This window comes from Homo sapiens, chromosome 11 (assembly GCF_000001405.40).
Source record: "Homo sapiens chromosome 11, GRCh38.p14 Primary Assembly".
Taxonomy (NCBI): Eukaryota; Metazoa; Chordata; class Mammalia; order Primates; family Hominidae; genus Homo; species Homo sapiens.
The window spans coordinates 64305221-64323669 of record NC_000011.10 but is presented as its reverse complement, the minus strand read 5'-3'; the positions used below and the strand labels follow the sequence as shown (position 1 = coordinate 64323669).

The 18449-nt window shown below is 57.9% G+C and overlaps 3 protein-coding genes across 18 annotated transcripts, besides 5 other annotated features; 1 reads left to right on the top strand and 2 right to left on the bottom strand.

The window, feature by feature from the left end:
• Positions 1–1858: 1858 nt before the first annotated feature.
• PRDX5 (peroxiredoxin 5) lies at positions 1859–5549 on the bottom strand. Of its 5 annotated transcripts, none has more exons than NM_012094.5 (6): positions 5284–5549; positions 3802–3936; positions 2878–3009; positions 2767–2805; positions 2602–2663; positions 1859–2084 (listed from the first exon to the last, which is right to left on the bottom strand). In NM_012094.5, exons 1-6 carry the CDS (start codon positions 5452–5454, stop codon positions 1979–1981), a joined length of 645 nt encoding a protein of 214 aa, NP_036226.2. In that variant the 5' UTR covers positions 5455–5549; the 3' UTR covers positions 1859–1978. The 5 variants fall into 5 exon arrangements, with proteins under 5 accessions (NP_036226.2, NP_001345445.1, NP_857634.2 ...); NM_001358516.2 differs by having other exon boundaries at positions 5284–5384; NM_181651.3 differs by lacking the exon at positions 2878–3009.
• Positions 5074–7210, top strand: TRMT112 (tRNA methyltransferase activator subunit 11-2). 7 transcript variants are annotated; one of them, NM_001372071.1, is made up of 5 exons: positions 5074–5128; positions 5998–6221; positions 6305–6406; positions 6523–6612; positions 6702–7210. In NM_001372071.1, exons 2-5 carry the CDS (start codon positions 6144–6146, stop codon positions 6807–6809), a joined length of 378 nt encoding a protein of 125 aa, NP_001359000.1. In that variant the 5' UTR covers positions 5074–5128; positions 5998–6143; the 3' UTR covers positions 6810–7210. The 7 variants fall into 7 exon arrangements, with proteins under 7 accessions (NP_001359000.1, XP_047283075.1, NP_001359001.1 ...); XM_047427119.1 differs by having other exon boundaries at positions 5863–6221; NM_001372072.1 differs by lacking the exon at positions 5074–5128 and adding an exon at positions 5680–5711.
• Positions 5485–5644: a silencer, noted in NCBI's record as "silent region_3477". NCBI's record gives its function as "represses an Ori minimal core promoter by ATAC-STARR-seq in GM12878 lymphoblastoid cells {active_cell/tissue: GM12878}" and the evidence as "EXISTENCE:reporter gene assay evidence [ECO:0000049][PMID:35858748]".
• Positions 5735–5934: an enhancer, noted in NCBI's record as "active region_4898". NCBI's record gives its function as "activates an Ori minimal core promoter by ATAC-STARR-seq in GM12878 lymphoblastoid cells {active_cell/tissue: GM12878}" and the evidence as "EXISTENCE:reporter gene assay evidence [ECO:0000049][PMID:35858748]".
• On the bottom strand, positions 6927–18146 carry ESRRA (estrogen related receptor alpha). Of its 6 annotated transcripts, none has more exons than NM_004451.5 (7): positions 17934–18146; positions 16166–16502; positions 9603–9719; positions 9303–9431; positions 8759–8929; positions 8400–8669; positions 6927–7963 (listed from the first exon to the last, which is right to left on the bottom strand). In NM_004451.5, the coding sequence occupies exons 2-7, from the start codon at positions 16488–16490 to the stop codon at positions 7704–7706; spliced, it is 1272 nt and encodes a 423-aa protein (NP_004442.3). In that variant the 5' UTR covers positions 16491–16502; positions 17934–18146; the 3' UTR covers positions 6927–7703. The 6 variants fall into 6 exon arrangements, with proteins under 6 accessions (NP_004442.3, NP_001269380.1, NP_001269379.1 ...); NM_001282451.2 differs by having other exon boundaries at positions 8759–8926; NM_001282450.2 differs by lacking the exon at positions 17934–18146 and adding an exon at positions 17222–17792.
• Positions 7092–7607: an enhancer, noted in NCBI's record as "H3K4me1 hESC enhancer chr11:64083535-64084050 (GRCh37/hg19 assembly coordinates)". NCBI's record gives its function as "activates a minimal SCP1, AML or CMV promoter by ChIP-STARR-seq in primed H9 embryonic stem cells {active_cell/tissue: H9 hESC(primed)}" and the evidence as "EXISTENCE:reporter gene assay evidence [ECO:0000049][PMID:30033119]".
• Positions 17450–17519: an enhancer, noted in NCBI's record as "active region_4897". NCBI's record gives its function as "activates an Ori minimal core promoter by ATAC-STARR-seq in GM12878 lymphoblastoid cells {active_cell/tissue: GM12878}" and the evidence as "EXISTENCE:reporter gene assay evidence [ECO:0000049][PMID:35858748]".
• Positions 17930–18439: a silencer, noted in NCBI's record as "silent region_3476". NCBI's record gives its function as "represses an Ori minimal core promoter by ATAC-STARR-seq in GM12878 lymphoblastoid cells {active_cell/tissue: GM12878}" and the evidence as "EXISTENCE:reporter gene assay evidence [ECO:0000049][PMID:35858748]".

Here is an 18449-nt window from a genome sequence, read left to right as displayed (position 1 = left end):
CCCCTGAAGGGGTGGCAGGTTGTGGGAGAGAACCACAGTGACAGAGGTTGGTGGGCAGCACGACTCGGGTAGGCTGAGCACCTGCAACCCTGGGCAGGGAGGCTGGCTCCCCTCCTACTGAGTGTCTGTTCTCACAGACGTGACCACAAGCACCCAGCCCCTCCACCTTCAGCAAGCAGCTCCCTGGATGCACCCTCCCTCCCAACACATCTCCACCTCCACCTCCTGGGCATTGCTGTCATCATGGGTCCTGCTCCCTGCTGCCCATCTGGTGCCTCTCCCAGCCTCCCAGCTTGGGGGCTGCACACGGTAGCCCATGGCCAAGGTGCCTGTAGGGTGGAAGGCAAGCTGCTCATCAGCTTCAGAGAGCCCACTGACCTCCAGGCATCCTCTCTTGTCCCCAACATTCCCCCCCTACTCCTGCTACCCACCTTGCTGCGGCAGCATGGGATTGTCCCACCCTCCACCCCTAGGGCTATGGGGCTCACCCCTAGGGCTATGGGCCTCCCTCCGCCTCCCACTTGAGGCGCCACTCCCACTGCCTCAAGGGTCATTTGCTCTATGAGGCCCTGCTTTGACCTTCTCCCTGACCTCTCAAGAGTGTGGCCTGCCTGAGTCAGCAGTGGGGGCTGACCCCTGGGGACCACTACGCAGGAAGTGCCTGGGAGCCAGGTATTGATGTGGTTCATGGCAGGGCAGCTCCACGCGGTGATGGAATGCGGACTCCCTGTAGGTGGCTGAGAGGCAGCAGCAGTCCACACCTCACCAATTCTTGTGAGGGCTGTTACCACACCTGGGGTGGGCAGGCAGGCAGCATCGCGCAGGGCACAGAGGCCCCCTAGACTCCACGCAGTGGGGCCTCACCATCACAGGCGTGGCTTCCCTGCACCAAGGGGCAGAGGCCCAGGAGCAGGGCCTGCCGTGGCAATGGCCCCCATCCCCACACCCTGCTGGTGTCCCCACTTGAGGCCCCTCACACCCAGCCACCACTGGTCAGGCCTCACCAGCATCTTCTCCCCTCCACAGCTCACCTAGACTCTTCCCCCAGGGAGCCCTCCTGGAATGAGCAAGTGCTGTGCCAGAGCCCCTCTCCCTGTCCATCAGATGGTCCTAAAGTGACCTGAGCTCTTCCTGGGATGAGGGTGTGCCCAGGAGGGGGTCAAGTCTGAAAGGATGGTGGGGCTGGGCCCCGGCAGGAATGCTGGGAGCCAAGCTTCCCGCCATGGGGTTTCCAGACTAAATGGCATCAGGCAGCACCCAGAGAGCAGGTACAAAGGCCACACTGTGCGCCACATGCCATCGGCCAGGCCTCGCCCTCTGTGCTGCCTCTGTGGGGAGCGCTTCTTCCCTTCCTCTTCAGATTGCTGGCTCCTTCTCAGTGCTCAGTAACACCTGCCTCAAGGCTGGGCACAGTGGCTCACACCTGTAATCCCAGCACTTTGGGGGGTGGAGGCGGGTGATCACCTGAGGTCAGGAGTTCGAGACCAGCCTGGCCAACATGGTGAAACCCCGTCTCTACCAAAAATACAAAAACTTAGTCGGGCGTGGTGGCAGACACCTGTAATCCCATCTACTGGGGAGTCTGAGGCAGGAAAATCGCTTGAACCTGGGAGGCAGAGGTTGTGGTGAGCCGAGATCATGCCACTGCACTCCAGCCTAGGGGACAGAGTGAAACTGTCTCAAAAAAAAAAAAAAAAAAAAACTTCCCTTGAAAGGCCCTCCCTAGCTCCCCCTTAATTAAGCAGGACCCCCTACATTCTCCCTTTCAGCCCATCTGCGCCCTCACCATTCTCACCCAGTCTGTGATGATGCCAGAATGCCTGGCGCTCAGCGAAACAGCCATTCATAACCAAGGAGATGGCCGCAAACCACAAGTGTTTATTGCAGAAATCTGGCCAACATTCCAATTGCAGGGCCCCAGCACAGGGCTGGGCAGGTGAGATAGGGAGGGGTGGAGGAAGTAATCTGGCCCAGGGCCTCAGAGCTGTGAGATGATATTGGGTGCCAGGCTGCAGGTGAGGCCTGTGCCATCTGGTTCCACATTCAGGGCCTTCACTATGCCATCCTGTACCACCATGGAGAACCTGCCGGAAAGAGGGGCCCAGCCAGCTGCATCAGCCTGGGCTTGGAGGCTGGGCATGGAGACAGGCAGTGAACAGCCAGGGGCCCAAGAGAACTCCAGAGAGGACTCCCCCCACAGAGGACTCTCCCCCACAGAGGACTCACCACCACACAGGACTCTCTCCACACAGAGGACTCTCCCCACAGAGAACTCTCCCCCACACAGGACTCTCTCCCCAGAGGACTCTCCCCTACAGAAGACTCTCCCCACACAGGACTCTCTCCCACACAGGACTCTCTCCACACAGAGGACTCTCCCCACAGAGGACTCTCCCCCACACAGGACTCTCCCCCACAGAGGACTCTCTCCACAGAGGACTCTCCCCACACAGGACTCTCCCCACAGACGACTCTCCCACACAGAGGACTCTCCCCCACAGACGACTCTTCCCACAGAGGACCCTCTCCACAGAGGACTCTCTCCCACAGAGGACTCTCTCCCACAGAGGACTCTCTCCACAGAGGACTCTCCACTTTTACCTCTTGAGACGTCGATTCCCAAAGATGGACACCAGCGAATCATCTAGTAATAAGTCTGTCTCCTAAGAAGAGACAGAGAAAAGTGTCAGAAATCCTTGAAGAGGCTAAGGGCCCCCACTGCTCCCCGCACTGCCATGTCCCTGTGGCGGTCAGGGGAACACTCACCTTCCCAAAGGCCCCAGTGGGATCAGCCAGGAGCCGAACCTGCAGAGAAAGTAAAGGTCACAAGAAGAATATCCTACCTGGTCCTGACTCCCTGCAGGCCCCTCACCTCACCTTGCCTTCCGCCTTGTGGGCTCGGCCCCACTCGCCAGTCACAAAGGCATCATTAACACTCAGACAGGCCACCACCTGGACTCCCTTGGCCTTCAGAGCCTCAGCCTGCTCCACAAACCCTGGCAGGTGTGTCTGAGGAAGGGGAACAAAGGGTCGGCAAAGGGATAACTGCATCTGACCCCCAGCCCACCCTTTATCTCCAGGCCCTCCTCAGTGCTCTGCCTCAACACCTTTGATCAGACAATGAGAGCTGTCTAAACCATTCTATTTCCTTTTTGCCTTGGCCACTAGGAAGCTCAGAATGAAACCTAATGCCTTATGGTCCAGACGTGAACTTTCCATGGGCAGATCTATGTCTTATTTATCTGAGTCCCAAGCACCTTCCACAGTGCCTGTCATTTAGCAGGACCAACAGGGGTGTTGGATTTAATTGTAGTATGTTTTTCTCCAACATTCCTGGTACTGTTCCCTTTTTGCAGTCTCTACTTGTTTTCTTTTTTTTTTTTTTCATTTTGAGACGGAGTCTCGCTCTTTCACCCAGGCTGGACTGCAGAGGCACGATCTCCACTCACTGCAACCTACGCCTCCTGGGTTCAAGCAATTCTCTGCCTCAGCCTCCCCAGTACCTGGGATTACAGGCGCCCGCCACCATGTCCGGCTGATTTTTTTGCATTTTTAGTAGAGACAGGGTTTCACCATCTTGGCCAGACTGGTTTTGAACTCCTGACCTCGTGATCCACCCGCCTTGGCCTCCCAAAGTGCTGGGATTACAGGCGTGAGCCACCGCGCCCAGCTCTACCCAGCTCTACTTGTTTTGTGATGGCACTGAAATGCTTTTTAGGAGTCCTATCAGGACTATGTGGAGGACTTAAGAGCAACACAAAAGATCCCAGGTCCTGATCTTCAGAAGGGGAAGGGCCTCACCTTGGAACATCCAGGGGTGAAGGCCCCAGGAACTCCAAACAGCACACCCTTCTTGCCCTTGAACAGCTCTGCCAGGTTCACCTTGTTCCCTGGCTCCCCTTCAAACACCTCCACTGCTGGGATGGCATCTCCCACCTAGAAGGAAGGACTCCAGGGTAAGGGGGGTGAGGGAGCCGGGGCAAACCAGAGGCAGGAAGGTGAACAGAGAGCCTGGCAGCTGTGCCTGCAGGAACCGGGGCTGAAACCCAGCAGGATACTCCAGCCCTGTCAGTTTCCAAGGGCCCTCCCTGCCCGCTCCCACTGGGTTACCCCATATCCTCCAAGTTTCAAGGTGGCCCTGCTCCTCTTAAGGGGCCATTGGTGACAACAGAGAAAGGGAGGGAAGGTTTCCCCATGTGTCGCAAAGGGTTGCATAACATGCTGTCTAGGTTACAGGAAAGGAGTGGAATAAAATGGACAGGGGCTAGAGGGCTGTATTTGGGGGTGAGGAGGAGTCCCTGACAACATGGAGGGAGAGGATCTTGGCCAGGTCTGAGGGTCCCACCCTCAGGAGGAGGAAGAGGAAGGGCAGCGGCAGGTGGAACGTTGGGGGAGGGTGTCCAGGCCCCTACACCCAGGAGGTGTAGAACAAAAGAAGGAATCTTTTGAAGGGGGAAGGATCCATCCCCAGAGTACTTGAGGGCTTCATGGGACCAGAGTGGGTAGGGAGAGAGAGTCAGAGGTGAGGGCCTCTGAGGAGCCCAAAGGTTGAGAGCAGGATGAAGTAGAAAGGGAATGGGGTCTCACAAGGTTTGGGAGGAGAAGGGGGAAGGTCCAAGGCCCTGGGGACGGTTCCAGGAAGTGAGTGAAAGACAGAAAGGTGGGAATTCGCCATGGGGGGAGGGGAGGTCATGGAGTGGGATGGGGTAAGCCCCCGCGGGGGCGCTAAGGGACAGCTGTTTCAGAAGATAGGGGAAATCAGGCCGGGAGTGGTGTCTCACACCTGTAATCCTAGCACTTCGGGAAGCCGAGGCGGGGGGGGGCGGGGGGGGTTCACCTGAGGTCAGGAGTTCGAGACCAATCTGAACAACGGGGTGAAATCCCGTCTCTACTAAAAATACAATAGCTGGGCGTGGTGGCTCGCATCTGTAGTCCCAGCTACTCAGGAGGCTGAGGCAGTAGAATCGCTTGAACCCGGGAGGCGGAGGCTGCAGTGAGCAGAGATTGCGTCACTGCACTCCAGCCTGGGCGACACAGAAAGACTCCGTCTCAAAAAAAAACAAAAAACAAAAAACACAATGCCTCGGGACTGTCCCGGGAGGTGAGGCCCCCACGATTGGCGAGAAAGGTGGGCAGCCACGAGGGCCTTCTGAAGGGATGAGCCGGGCGGGCGGAGGGGAGGGGTCTGGCAGGCAGGAAATAAAGCGATACTCTCAGACTAGCGGGACGGGGATTGCCATGGGGGTAGTGGGGGATGTCAGGCCCGGCCGGGCCAGCGGTCACCTTGATTGGGGCCATGGCTGCAGCGGCTCTGCTGAAACTGCGGACCCCGCCAGACGCCCACTCTCCTTCACTGTACCGTCTTGCTGCCGCTGCCGCAGACTGACCGCCGGCCCCACCGACGAGTATATAGCCCGCTGAGCGTCTCAGGGCGCACACGCCAGCTAGTCCCATACCCGCCCCACGGCCACTTCCACTCCGCCTCCTGGCTGGTGCCACCGCAGCAGGCGGGGCACCGCTAGCGGCACAGCGGCGACACCCTGCGGAAGGCGGGCCTGGGCCGCCTCCACTGCGCAGGCGCGAGCGGCCACCCGCAGAACAGAGCTTCCGGGACCCACGCCTCGTTTGCACTGGGTGCTGGACAGCCGACGCAACTACAAATGGGGCGGAGCTTTCGGCACTGGAGCAGCTAATTTGCATATAGGAATGAGGTGCGGCTCGGCTTCCATGGGCCTAATTTACAGATAGGGCGGTATTTCTGCCCCTTAACCGAAAGTGGGATACAGAGGACGACGGTGTTAGGCGCCTGTGTAGGAGTAAAATGTGTTTATTTTGCATTCAACGAGAGCTCCTGCATTGCAGCTATTTTGCATATGATTTGCATCTTACGAAGAATTTGTGGCAAAAAAAAGCTGGGCGTGCGCCGTAGGAACCTCCTGCTGAGACGCTTCCGGTAGCGGCGCGTGACCCGACAGGTCTTTCACCTACCTACCTCAGCTCCCACAAACACGAGAAGTTCCAGCAAGTTCGCCACTTCCGGTTCTCCTGGCTATCCAATAGCATCGAGAGGAGCATCCCCGGAAGTGAGGCAGCGGAGGACGACCTTTTTCCGGTTCCGGCCTGGCGAGAGTTTGTGCGGCGACATGAAACTGCTTACCCACAATCTGCTGAGCTCGCATGTGCGGGGGGTGGGGTCCCGTGGCTTCCCCCTGCGCCTCCAGGTACCCGCCGGCGGCAGTCTTCCCTTTTCGGGCGGGATGGTGGGCCGGGGTCCAGTGCTTGCCTAAACTCCTCCGCCCTGCAGGCCACCGAGGTCCGTATCTGCCCTGTGGAATTCAACCCCAACTTCGTGGCGCGTATGATACCTAAAGTGGAGTGGTCGGCGTTCCTGGAGGCGGCCGATAACGTGAGGATCCTTACCCCGCCCCAGCATATCCCGGGGAATGCGGGGCGGGCACACCTCAGCCGGGCTGAGGCGGGAGTTCGGGATGCCCGGAGATAATTTTGGCCTCTTGCCCACAGTTGCGTCTGATCCAGGTGCCGAAAGGGCCGGTTGAGGGATATGAGGAGAATGAGGAGTTTCTGAGGACCATGCACCACCTGCTGCTGGAGGTGAGAAGCGGCCCATCACTTGCTTCCCGGGCCACCTGCCTCCCGCACTGAGGCTGCCAGTGCTCAGCTCTGTCCCTCCCTGCCCGCAGGTGGAAGTGATAGAGGGCACCCTGCAGTGCCCGGAATCTGGACGTATGTTCCCCATCAGCCGCGGGATCCCCAACATGCTGCTGAGTGAAGAGGAAACTGAGAGTTGATTGTGCCAGGCGCCAGTTTTTCTTGTTATGACTGTGTATTTTTGTTGATCTATACCCTGTTTCCGAATTCTGCCGTGTGTATCCCCAACCCTTGACCCAATGACACCAAACACAGTGTTTTTGAGCTCGGTATTATATATTTTTTTCTCATTAAAGGTTTAAAACCAAAAGCGGTTTCTCTTTGCAGCAAATATACATTAAAATAGAGTCTCTGTACAGCCAAGGGCTCTGGGCCCTGGCTTGCCCCATGTCCCTGCGCCTCCCTGGCCAAACCCAAAAATAAATATAGTGTTATTGCTCTGCAGGGCATAGAGGCAGTGCTCTCCTACCCCCTGAGGAGGCTCGTTGGGAGCTGATGGGGAAGCCCTGGCCACCCCAGGGGTCCAGGGGCTGGAGTCTGCTTGGAGTTATTGCTTCAAGGGGGGACACTAATGCCCAATGCAAATGATGAGAGGAGGAGCGAAGGGGGCATGGGCCTTTGCTCTCCAAGTCCCACTCTGCTTTGAAGAGGGGGTAGGATTAAGCAGCAGCAAAAGCATCACCCACTGGGAGACTCTGGCCTCCATCCCCTTCCCTCCCTGAGATAGGTTTCTGCCTCCCACGCATCCCGTGCAGCCCCCTATGGCTTCCGCAAGGCCCCCTACACTCTGGGGGCACGTTATGGCTTGCAAGGGGCAGCACTGTGCCCAGAGCCTGGACACACGTTCCCAGCTTCTGACACCCCCTAGGAGGGGGAGGAGAGGGCGTGGGGCCTGTTCCCAGGGGCTGATGGCATTGCCCTGGCCCTGCCAGCAGGCTGTGGCACTGCCCAGACCCCAGCTCCGCCCCAGCCCTTGGGGCTGACCCCATGCTAGGCAGGTCCTGCCAGAACCCCCACCAGTCCCACCCCTTGCCTCAGTCCATCATGGCCTCGAGCATCTCCAAGAACAGCTTGTGCATGGGCACCTTGCCCTCCAGCTTCACCCCATAGAAATGGGCCAGCACTTTGCCCGCTGTCTGGCGGAGGAGCGGTAGCGTGAGCAGCAGCCTGCCCGCCCGCCGCCGCTCAGCACCCCCTCCGGGGCCAGCCCGGCCGGCTTCATACTCCAGCAGGGCCTCGTGCAGAGCTTCTCGCAGCTGCTCCACAGCCTCGGCATCTTCGATGTGCACAGAGTCTGCAAGAAGAGAGGAATGTGGTGTTGGCCTGGGCTATCTCTGGCAAGGGCACTCCCCGTATCTTGAGCACTGCTGGATGGGGCCTAAGGAAGAGCCAAACGAGGATTTGTTGATTGGCTGACTGAGAGGCACCACTCATTGCTGCGGCTCGTGGGCCAGGACCCCACCCTCTCTCCCTCAACTGTGGCCACCTTGTACCCTCCCCACCTTCCCTCCCACTAAATGACCTTTCTGCATTAGTGTGGCACTAGGGCTCAAAATCCTGTGTGCAGTTTGGAGCCTGCACTTGGCTTGCTTTTTGACTTCTAGCAAGTCATTGTTCTTCCCTAAGCCTCAGTTTTCGTTATCTGCAAAATGGGGCTGTGCTACCGTCACTGAGTTAACCTGAAGACCTTACGGAGACACCTCACCTGTCAGTGCCTGCCCCAGACTCACCTGAATTGGCAAGGGCCAAGGCCTTTAGTAGAACATACTCCTCTCGCTCCAGCCGCAGGGCCTGCAGCCGCCGCACTAGTTGCAGCAGGGCAGCCCCCAGTTCCCCCAGGCCAGCTGCCCGTGCCCCCTCTTCATCCAGGACTAAGTCCTCAGCGAAGGCCAGCTCATCCTGCAGTGGCAGTGAGCGCTGGGCCACACCCAGCACCAGCACCTCCATCCACACGCTCTGCAGTACTGACATCTGGTCAGACAGCGACAGCGATGAGAAGCCTAGGGGGCAGCGGGGAGCGGGCCTGGCTGAGCAAGCGCACCAGAGCCGGGCCCGTTCAGGGCAGCCCCGGGTCACCTGGGCCCTTTACCTGGGATGCTCTTGGCCCAGCTGATGGTGACCACAATCTCTCGGTCAAAGAGGTCACAGAGGGTAGCCACGGCTGGGAGGTGCCCATCAGGGCCTGCGGGGTCAGGCATGGCATAGAGCTTCTCAGGCTCAACCACCAGCAGATGAGACACCAGTGCATTCACTGGGGCTGCTGTGACAATTAGAGGACAAGAGTCAGGAGCACTCGAATCTGTCAGGCCTCAGGGGTCAAGCATCTTCCCACAGTGGCTCCCCCTGTGGCCTTCCTCAGTAGCAGCTGTCCAGTGACTTCCCTCCAGGGAAGAGCGCTAACTGTCTCCCAGGGAAAGCCCGTGTGTTTGTGGACAGGCTGTGAGTGTTGGAAAATCGTCCCTGTTCCCAGTTCTACTACTTTTCCTGATGCAGGAAAAGGCAGTTTCACATGTCTTGGGGAAATGAGTGAGTGAAGAGACGAAGGGGAAATACAGGTCCCAGTGCCCAAGGTAACTATGATGCCACACATAGGCCTCCGGTTTCGTAGCCCCAGGTACCCACAGTGCTCTCACCTGTCTTCCGGGGGCCTCCAGCGACTGCCAGGGGCCCAGCAGGGAAGGGGCCCGGGAAGGGCAGTGGGTCCACCTCCGGCCGCCGCTTGTACTTCTGCCGCCCACCCCGGACGCGGTCCAGGCGCACTCCTTGAATTGTGGGACAGATAGGACTGTGACTGTGGTGCTGTGGGCAGGGTGGGGCTTGCTCTCCAGAGCTGTCCTCCCCGAGTCCACTCACCAGAACTCCCAGGCCTCACCCCCACCTGGCCCGGGTCCCCGACTCCCCCAGCCCTCGCCCAGCCCCTGCCCAGCGCTCACCCTCCTTGAGCATGCCCACCCGCAGGCACTTGGTGAAGCGGCAGGCCTGGCAGGCCTTGCGTCTCCGCTTGGTGATCTCACACTCGTTGGAGGCCGGACAGCTGTACTCGATGCTCCCTGCCAGGAAGAGGCAGGGCTCCAGTGGCGGCCTCCCGGGGCTGGGAGGGGACCCAGCTGACAGGAGAGCCCTGACTCTCCCCGGGCAAGCACAGGTCTGGGGGTATGGGGAGGAAAGGGAGAGCAGGGGGCCATGAGCAGGCAGGGAGGGGAGTGGCTGCTGGGCGGGGGAGCCCTGCCTGGATGAGGGAGGAGCTGGACCAGGCAGCGGGGCTGCATCTCAGCCCCAAGCCTCATCTCTGGACCACACTGCCCTCATCTGCCGACATCAAGGGCCACAAGGACCTCTGCATTGCTAAATCCAGTGGTCAATTCTTAGTCCTCATGTTACTTGGCCTAAAAGGAGGATCTAAGGCTGTTGATCACTTCCTGCTCCTAGAAACACTGAAACACTTTCTTCTTTTGCTTCTAGGACAGCATACACTCTGGTTTTCCTCCCACCGCACCAGCCACTTTGTGGTTTCTGAGCATCTTCCCAAGCTCTTCCATCCAGACTGCCAGGGCTGTCCTTGGAGCTCATCTCCAATCCCATGGCAATCTTCCCCAGCCGTGGGGCTCTCACGTTTCTACCTCTAGCCTGGACTTGCTGTGAGCTCCAGACCCATCTCTCCAGCTGCCTCCTTGACATCCTGCATGTCTAGAAGGCATCTCGGACCGAACACAGCCTACGTGGACTCCACGTGTTCACTTGCCCAAGAAGAAACCTAGGCAGAATCTCTGGTTCCTCTCACACCCCACATCCAAGCCACCGACACATTCTGGTGGGCTTTACCTCCTCCAAGGTCCAGAATCCGCCTCCTGCCCCTGGCAACTACTTCCACCCTTGACCTGATAGTCACTGTCACCTCGCCCCTCGCTTGGCTGTCCCTGCTTGCTCCAGTCTGTTCTCGACTCAGCAGCCAAGAGGGTCCTATTAAGCCTCCATTACATCCTGTACCTCCTCTTCTCAAAACCCTCTGGGGATTTCCCTTCTCTGAGTCCAAGCCAAAGCGAACCTATGTCCTCCTAGGCCTACGCCCCTGCTTCTTGCCTCCTTTTGACCTCTACTCCTTGCTCTCGCCTCCTCCATGTTCCTCAAACAGGCCCTGCCTGGAGCTCTAGTCCTGAAGTCCACACAGGCTCCCTCACCTCCCTCTGCTCACTGTCACCTTGAAGATCTTCCCTGGCCACCCTGTGATAATGCCAAATCCCTTTGCAGAGTCCTCCTGGCCTCTGAGCCCTGCTTCTGGTTTCTCTTCAGCCCTCAGCACAACAGACCACGCTGCATATGCACTCACCTATCTTGTTTATTACGCCTCCCCCTTCAGTGGCAGCTCCACCGGGGCAGGAACTGGCCCCAGCACTAGCAACGAGGCCTGGCACATGGTGGGTGCTGGCAGCCCTCCCGGCCTCACAGGGCCCCGCAACGACCAAATGACACAGCTAGACAGCAGGCCCGCAGCACATTTCTCCTCGCGGTGCATTTTCTCCTACCCCCTATTTGCGCTTCTGCACTCAGCTCAAGACACCACGGCCGGGCACGGTGGCTCACGCCTGTAATCCCAGCACTTTGGGAGACCGAGGTGGGTGGATCACCTGAGGTCAGAAGTTCAAGACCAGCCTGGCCAACATGGTAAAACCCCGTCTCTACTAAAAGTACAAAAATTAGCTGGGTGTGGTGGCAGGCACCTGTAGTCCCAGCTACTCAGGAGGCTGAGGCAGGAGAATCGCTTGAACCCGGGAGGCAGAGGTTGCAGTGAGCCGAGATTGTGCCACTGCACTCCAGCCTGGGTGACACAGTGAGACTCCATCTCGAAAAAAAAAAATTAGCCGGACATGGTGGTGCATGTCTGTAATCCCAGCTGCTCCGGAGGCTGAGGCAGGAGAATCGCTTGAACCCGGGAGGCAGAGGCTGCAGTGAGCCAAGATCGTGCCATTGCACTCCAGCCTGGGCAACCAGAGCGAAACTCTGTACCAAAAAAAAAAAAAGGCCAGGCGCAGTGGCTCACGCCTATAATCCCAGCACTTTGGGAGGCCGAGGCAGGCAGATCACGAGGTGAGGAGTTTGAGACCAGCCTGACCAACACGGTGAAACCCTGTCTCTACTAAAAATACAAAAATTAGCTGGGCGTGTGCCTGTAGTCCCAGCTACTCGGGAGGCTGAGGGAGAACAATCGCTTGAACCTGGGAGGCGGAGGTTGCAGTAAGCTGAGATCGTGCCACTGTACTATAGCCTGGCAACAGAGTGAGACTCTGTCTAAAAAAAAAAAGAGGCCGGGAGCGTAATCCCAGCACTTTGGGAGGCCGAGGCGGGTGGATCACGAGGTCAGGAGATCGAGACCATCCTGGCTAACATGGTGAAACCCAGTCTCTACTAAAAATACCAAAATTAGCCGTGCGTGGTGCCATGCGCCTGTAATCCCAGCTATTGGGGAGGCTGAGGCAGGAGAATCGCTTGAACCCGGGAGGCGGAGCTTGCACTGAGCCGAGATCGCGCCACTGGACTCTAGCCTGGGCAACAAAGCGAGACTCCGTCTCAAAAAAAAAAAAAAAAAGACAAGCCCTCTGGAGCCTCAGAACCAGCACCTCCCCTTCCTGCACATACCACAGCGGTAATAAGACAAGTCTGTGCAACTCACTGTTGCCCAGCTCTCCCCTCTGCCAGGATGTAAACTGCCTGAGGGCAGAAACAGCCCTGCTTCAGCCCCAGCTATGTCCCCAAGGCCTGGAACACTGGCCAGGACAGCAAAGAACAGGTCTGTGCCGAACAGGGACTCTGGCTACCACATACCTTTATGACCTTGGGCAAGTCCCATACCTAACCCCTTGAACCCTCAGTTTCCCAGCTGTAAAAGTGCCCCACAGAGTTGGGTCGTGAGAATTAAAGGGGATAATATGGTCAAAACATCCAGCATGGTTCATGACACCTAAGTGCTCAATATACAAGTCCTATTCACAGCCAGCACACAATAAATATTTGTCAATAGTCAACATACAGTGAGGGGCCCCAGGGTAGGTAGGAGATACCCGCACCCTGGCCGGCTGGCTCACTGTTCTTCAGAGTGGGAAGGGTGCACAAAGTTTAAGATTGGTGGATTTTGGCCAAGTTAAAACTTGCTGGATTGGCGGGGTGCAGTGGCTCACACCTATAATCCCAGCACTTTGGAAGCCCGAGGAGGGCAGATCGCCTGAGGTCAGGAGTTTGAGGCCAGCCTGGCCAACATGGTGAAACCCCATCCCTACTAAAAACACAAAAATTAGCCGGGCATGGTGGCAGGCGCCTGTAATCCCAGCTACTTGGGAGGCTGAGGCAGGTGAATGGCTTGAACCCGGGAGGCAGAGGTTGCAGTGAACCACGACTGCAGGCCGTTGCACTCCAGCCTGGACAACAAGAGCAAAACTCCATCTCAAAAAAAAAAAAAAAAAAAAAAAAAACCTGGCCAGGAGCAGTGGCTCACGCCTGTAATCCCAGCACTTTGGGAGTCCAAGGCAGGTGGATCTCGAGGTCAGGAAATCAAGACCATCTTGGCTAACACGCTGAAACCCCGTCTCTACTAAAAGTACAAAAAATTAGCCAGGCGTGGTGGCGGGCACCTGTAGTCCCAGCTACTCAGGAGGCTGAGGCAGGAGAATGGTGTGAACCCGGGAGGCGGAGCTTGCAGTGAGCCGAGATCGTGCCACTGCACTCCAGCCTGGGCGACCACACGAGACTGTCTCAAAAAAAAAAAAAAAAACGTGCTGGAATGTCACAATCAGTCATTCAGCGTCTGTCCAAAGTTCGGTGTTATTAGTAATAAGCAGAGGAAGCAGTCTAACATTGAAGAGCTCAGCTCTGGACCTATACTGACCCAAGTTCAAATCTTGGTTCTGCCATTTCCTAGTTGTGAGACTTCAACAAAGTTTCAAATGCCTCTCTTAGTTTCAGTTATAACAGTACTGACACCTTATAGGGTTGCTGTGGGGACTAACTGAGATCATAAAAGAATACAGTGCCTAGCACAAGGTAAGCACTCAAGATTTTTTTTTTTTTTTTTTTTTTGATACGAACTCTCACTCTGTCACCCAGGCTGGGAGTGCAGTGGCACGATCTTGGCTAACTCCAACCTCTGCCTCCTGGGTTCCAGCAATTCTCCTGCCTCAGCCTCCTGAGTAGCTGGGACTACAGGCACCCACCACGACACCTGGCTAATTTTTGTATTTCTAGTACAGACAGGGTTTCACCATGTTGGCCAGGCTGGTCTCGAACTCCTGACCTTGTGATCCTCCCATCTTAGCCTCCGAAAGTGCTGAGATTACAGGTGTGAGCCACCACACTTGGCCTTTTTTTTTTTTTTTTTAATTATACGTGTTATAGCCCCCAAAGTAACCAATGGTTACATAAAAGCAGAAATAACGGAAATAATAGGCCCTTCCCAGGCAATGCTTAATGTCAGCATCTTGCTCATTCCCCCAAATTCTGATAAGCTTTCCTGAGTGAGAAAAAAATTAGTGACTTTTAAGAGCAGACATGCCTGTAAGTCCTTTTTTTTTTTTTTTTGAGATGAGAGTGTCTCATTCTGTTGCCCAGACTAGAGTGCTGTGGCATGATCTCAGCTCACTGCAACCTCTGCCTCCCGGGTTCAAGCAATTCTCCTGCCTCAGCCTCCCAAGTAGTGGGATTACAGGCACTCACCACCACGCCCGGCTAATTTTTGTATTTTTAGTAGAGACGGGGTTTTACCATGTTGGCCAGGCTGGTCTCGAACTCCTGACCTCGTGATCCGTCTGCCTCAGCCTCCCAAAGTGCTGGGATTACAGGCCATGAGCCACCAAGCCCAGCGTTTTTGGGTTTTTTTGTTTTTGTTTTTGTTTTTGTTTTTTGAGGTGGAGTTTCACTTTTGTTGCGCAGGCTAGAGTGCAATGGCGCGATCTGGGCTCATTGCAACCTCTGCCTCCCAGGTTCAAGCAATTCTCCTGTCTCAGCCTCTTGAGTGGGATGACAGGCGCATGCCACCATGCTTGGCTAATTTTTGTATTTTCAGTAGAGACGGGGTTTCATCACATTGGTCAGGCTGGTCTCAAACTCCTGACCTCAGGTGATCCGCCCGTCTCGGCCTCCCAAAGTGCTGGGATTACAGGCATGAGCCACCGCGCCCAGCCTTTTTTTTTTTTTTTTTGAGACGGAGTCTCACTCTGTCGCCCAGGCTGGAGTGCAGTGGCGTGATCTTGGCTCACTGCAACCTCCGCCTCCTGGGTTCACGCCATTCTCCTGCCTCAGCCTCCCAAGTAGCTGGGATTACAGGCGCCCGCCACCATGCCCAGCTAATTTTTTGTATTTTTAGTAGAGACAGTGTTTCACCGTGTTAGCCAGGATGTTCTCAATCTCCTGACCTCATGATCCGCCCGCCTCGGCCTCCCAAAGTGCTGGGATTACATGAGCCACAGTGCCCGGCCTTTTTTTTTTTTTTTTGAGATGGAATCTCGCTCTGTCACCCAGGCTGGAGTACAGTGGTGTGATCTTGGCTCACTGCAACCTCTGCCTCCTGGGTTCAAGCAATTCTCCTGCCTCAGCCTCTCAAGTAGCAAGTAGCTGAGATTACAGGCGCGAGCCACCATGCCCAGCTAATTTTTTGCATTTTTAGTAGAGATGCGGTTTCACCACCCTGGCCAGGCTGGTCTCGATCTCCTGACCTCAGGTGATCCGCCCACCTTGGCCTCCCAAAGTGCTGGGATTACAGGTGTGAGCAACTGTGTCCGGCCTTGCCTGTTAGTCTTTTTAAAGTTGGGTGCTAAACTATGATGTAGCCCCTCTCAAGTACTGATAAAAATCTGCCTTGTTTTGGGAGGCCGAGGCAGGTGGATCATTTGTGGTCAGGAATTCCAGACCAGCCTGGCCGACATGGTGAAACGTCGTCTCTACTAAAAATACAAAAATTAGCTGGGCGTGGTGGTGCACACCTGCAGTCTCAGCTACTCAGGAGGCTGAGGCAGGAGAATCTCTTGAACCCAGGGGCAAAGGTTGCAGTGAGCAGAGATTGTGCCACTGCACTCTAGCCTGAACAACAGAGTGAGACTCTGTCTCAAAAAAAAAAAAATTAAAATCTGCCTTGTGTTGGTGCTGCTTTGGGAAAATTAACAAAAAGGGGACATGTTCTATGCTGGGGAGAGGTCAGAAGCTGCCAGAAACAAGAACAAAGCTTAGGAACAGACAGAGGCTGCCTTGGACTCTTTCAGAGCCACTGTAGAAGGTGCTGGGCCTAGAGTACCCAGGTGGTACCCTGAACTCACTCACATCCACTGCAATGCATCAGCACACCCGGTGCTTTTACCATACTTCTCAGGGAAAGAGTGTCTCTGGGAGGTAGAGGGACTGGAAACACCAGATTGTTAGCCTCAAGCGGTGCCACAGCCATCAGGGGGCCTATTGCACCCAGCAGTGTACCCAGAGGGTGCAGGGCAAAGGACAGGGGAGTGGGCTGGGGGCTCACCCTGGATGGTCCTCTTGAAGAAGGCTTTGCAGGCCTCACAGGATGCCACACCATAGTGGTAGCCGGAGGCCACGTCCCCACAGACCAGGCAGAGGCGCTTGGGCAGGGAGCTGAGCACCAGCTTCCCACCGCCCTGCTCGCCAGGCCCAGCCCCCTCCCCATCCTCCTCTTCCTTGTGGCCTGGGAGGCAGCGAGTGGGAGCTGGACCAGGGGCCAGGGCCACAGGAGGCTCGGTCTCTGTCTCCGAGGAACCCTTTGGACTGTCAGGGCTGGCCGGCTCTGCCTTGATGTAGAGAGGCTCAATGCCCACCACCTGGCTGGACATGGCGCTGGTCACCTGCACGGAGAGACCCATAGGTTCGCAGGAAAGCACTGGTATGGGGGATGGGAGACACCCTGCCACACGGGTTGCCCAACCTCGGGCCTAGGGCCAGGCTTCCAAGCCCAGCAAGTGGGGAAGAAGGGGGGCAGAGTCCAAGGAAGGACTGCCCAGGAACACTGCCCCCTCCTAGCTGTTGCCATGGAAACAGAGTCTTCAGGGCCAGTAACTGACAGCAGGTCTCCCCCTTGGGAACCTGGGGGAGGCTTAGAAAGCCCCTACTCCCACCCAGGCCAGGGAGCAGGGTAACCGTAGCCCCCAGGCAACCTTCAACCCCACCTGGAATCCCTAGCCAGGAGCAGGATACTTCCCAGTTTTCTCCAGATGTTGGGGGGACCTCTGAGACCCTGCCCTCATCTGGGTATTCTGCATTGGAGAGCAGACCCAAGGCCAGTGGACGTGCTCACACCGAGTTCACACACTCCACTCACCGGGGTGCTCAGGAGCCCCACAAGCCCACGCAGGCTCGCTCTCTGCTGAGGGCTTTCACACTTGCACCGGCCTTCCCAAACCCGTGCTCACTCCTGCTCACACTTGTGCTCACACACTTCTCCTGGAGCGCACACCCCATCCACGAACTCAGTCAAGGCTCATGATCACACACACTCTCACTAGGTCTCCCCACATCCACACGCACAGGCACGGACTCATGAAAACACCTCCAGAGCTTTTCACACCTGACACGCGGCTGCCCTCCTGCCCCAGCATGCCGGTCCCAGGCACACGGCGGGCGCCGCTCCACCTCCTCGCGACCAGCCTGCAGGTCCACTCTTATACTCCCGCTGTCGCAGAGGCCGCCACCTCCCGGGGCGCCGCGTCCCGCCCCCAACCTGCGCACACCTTTGGGAAGTTGCCTAAAGTTGCTACGCCTCCCCCTCCCCGCCCGCGGGAGACCTCTACCAGGTTATCAGGAAGTAAGTGGGGAGAGCCAAGGAGGAGGAAGTTCTCCCCTGCCGGTGCGATGACCTTTGACCCAGAGAGGAGGGTGGCCCCAGGCCCCTTCGAGCGCCCCCACGTGGTCTTCAGAGCCCCTTCCCAGACATAGAGCCCTCCCCGTCTTCCACCCCGGCCAGCCCCAGGGACTTCGGCAAATGCGGGATTGAACCCTGCCCCGGAGCGGGCTGGATCGGAGGCCCAACCCTGACCCGAGTCAGGACCCGCAGCCAGAGCCAGATCCTGCCCCAGGCCGGCCCACCAGGACTCGGACGCCGGATCCCGCCTGAACCCTGACCAGTCCGACCCTCGACTGGGTCCCAACCGTGGCCCGGACTGGCCCCAGAGTCGGACCCCGCCTGCAGCCCGCCCCGCCCGCCTCCCTGCCGCGCTCGCACATGGCCCCCGCGCCCCGCCCGCCCACCCCCGCGGCAGCGCTCCCCTCCGCCCCCGGACCTGGGGCTCCGGCAGCGCGGTCGGGCAGGCATGGGGGCCGAGCGGCCCGGAGTGCCGGAGTGAGCCGGGGGCCGCGGGCGGCCCCTCCTCCGCCGCCTCCTCGGGCCGCGCCGCCCCACCGCGCCGCGTCCCCTCACTCGGCGGCGCCGCCGGCTGCTTGTAGGACACAAAAGGACATCGCGGCCGCTTCCTACTCCGCTTCCTCCAGCTGACAGCGGGGGTGGGGCCGGCCGTGCGCATGCAAAGCAGGGGGCGGGGCCCGGGGTCCTATGCTAATCAGACCAGCGGGGCGGGCGGCGCCTGCGCGCCCGGACGAGTCGGGGCGGAGCCGGCAGCGCCAGTGGGCGGGCCTTCGTGCAGGTCCCGCCCCGCAGCCCGCCGAGCCACTGCGGCGCACATGCGTACGCGGCCCCTGGGAGGGGCGGGGCCGGAGACGCGGAGGGCGGGGACAATAGAGCCGAGAGCAAGTGGGGCCAGAAGCGCTCTTTCGTAACGGAGGAGGCGGGGCTTGCTGCG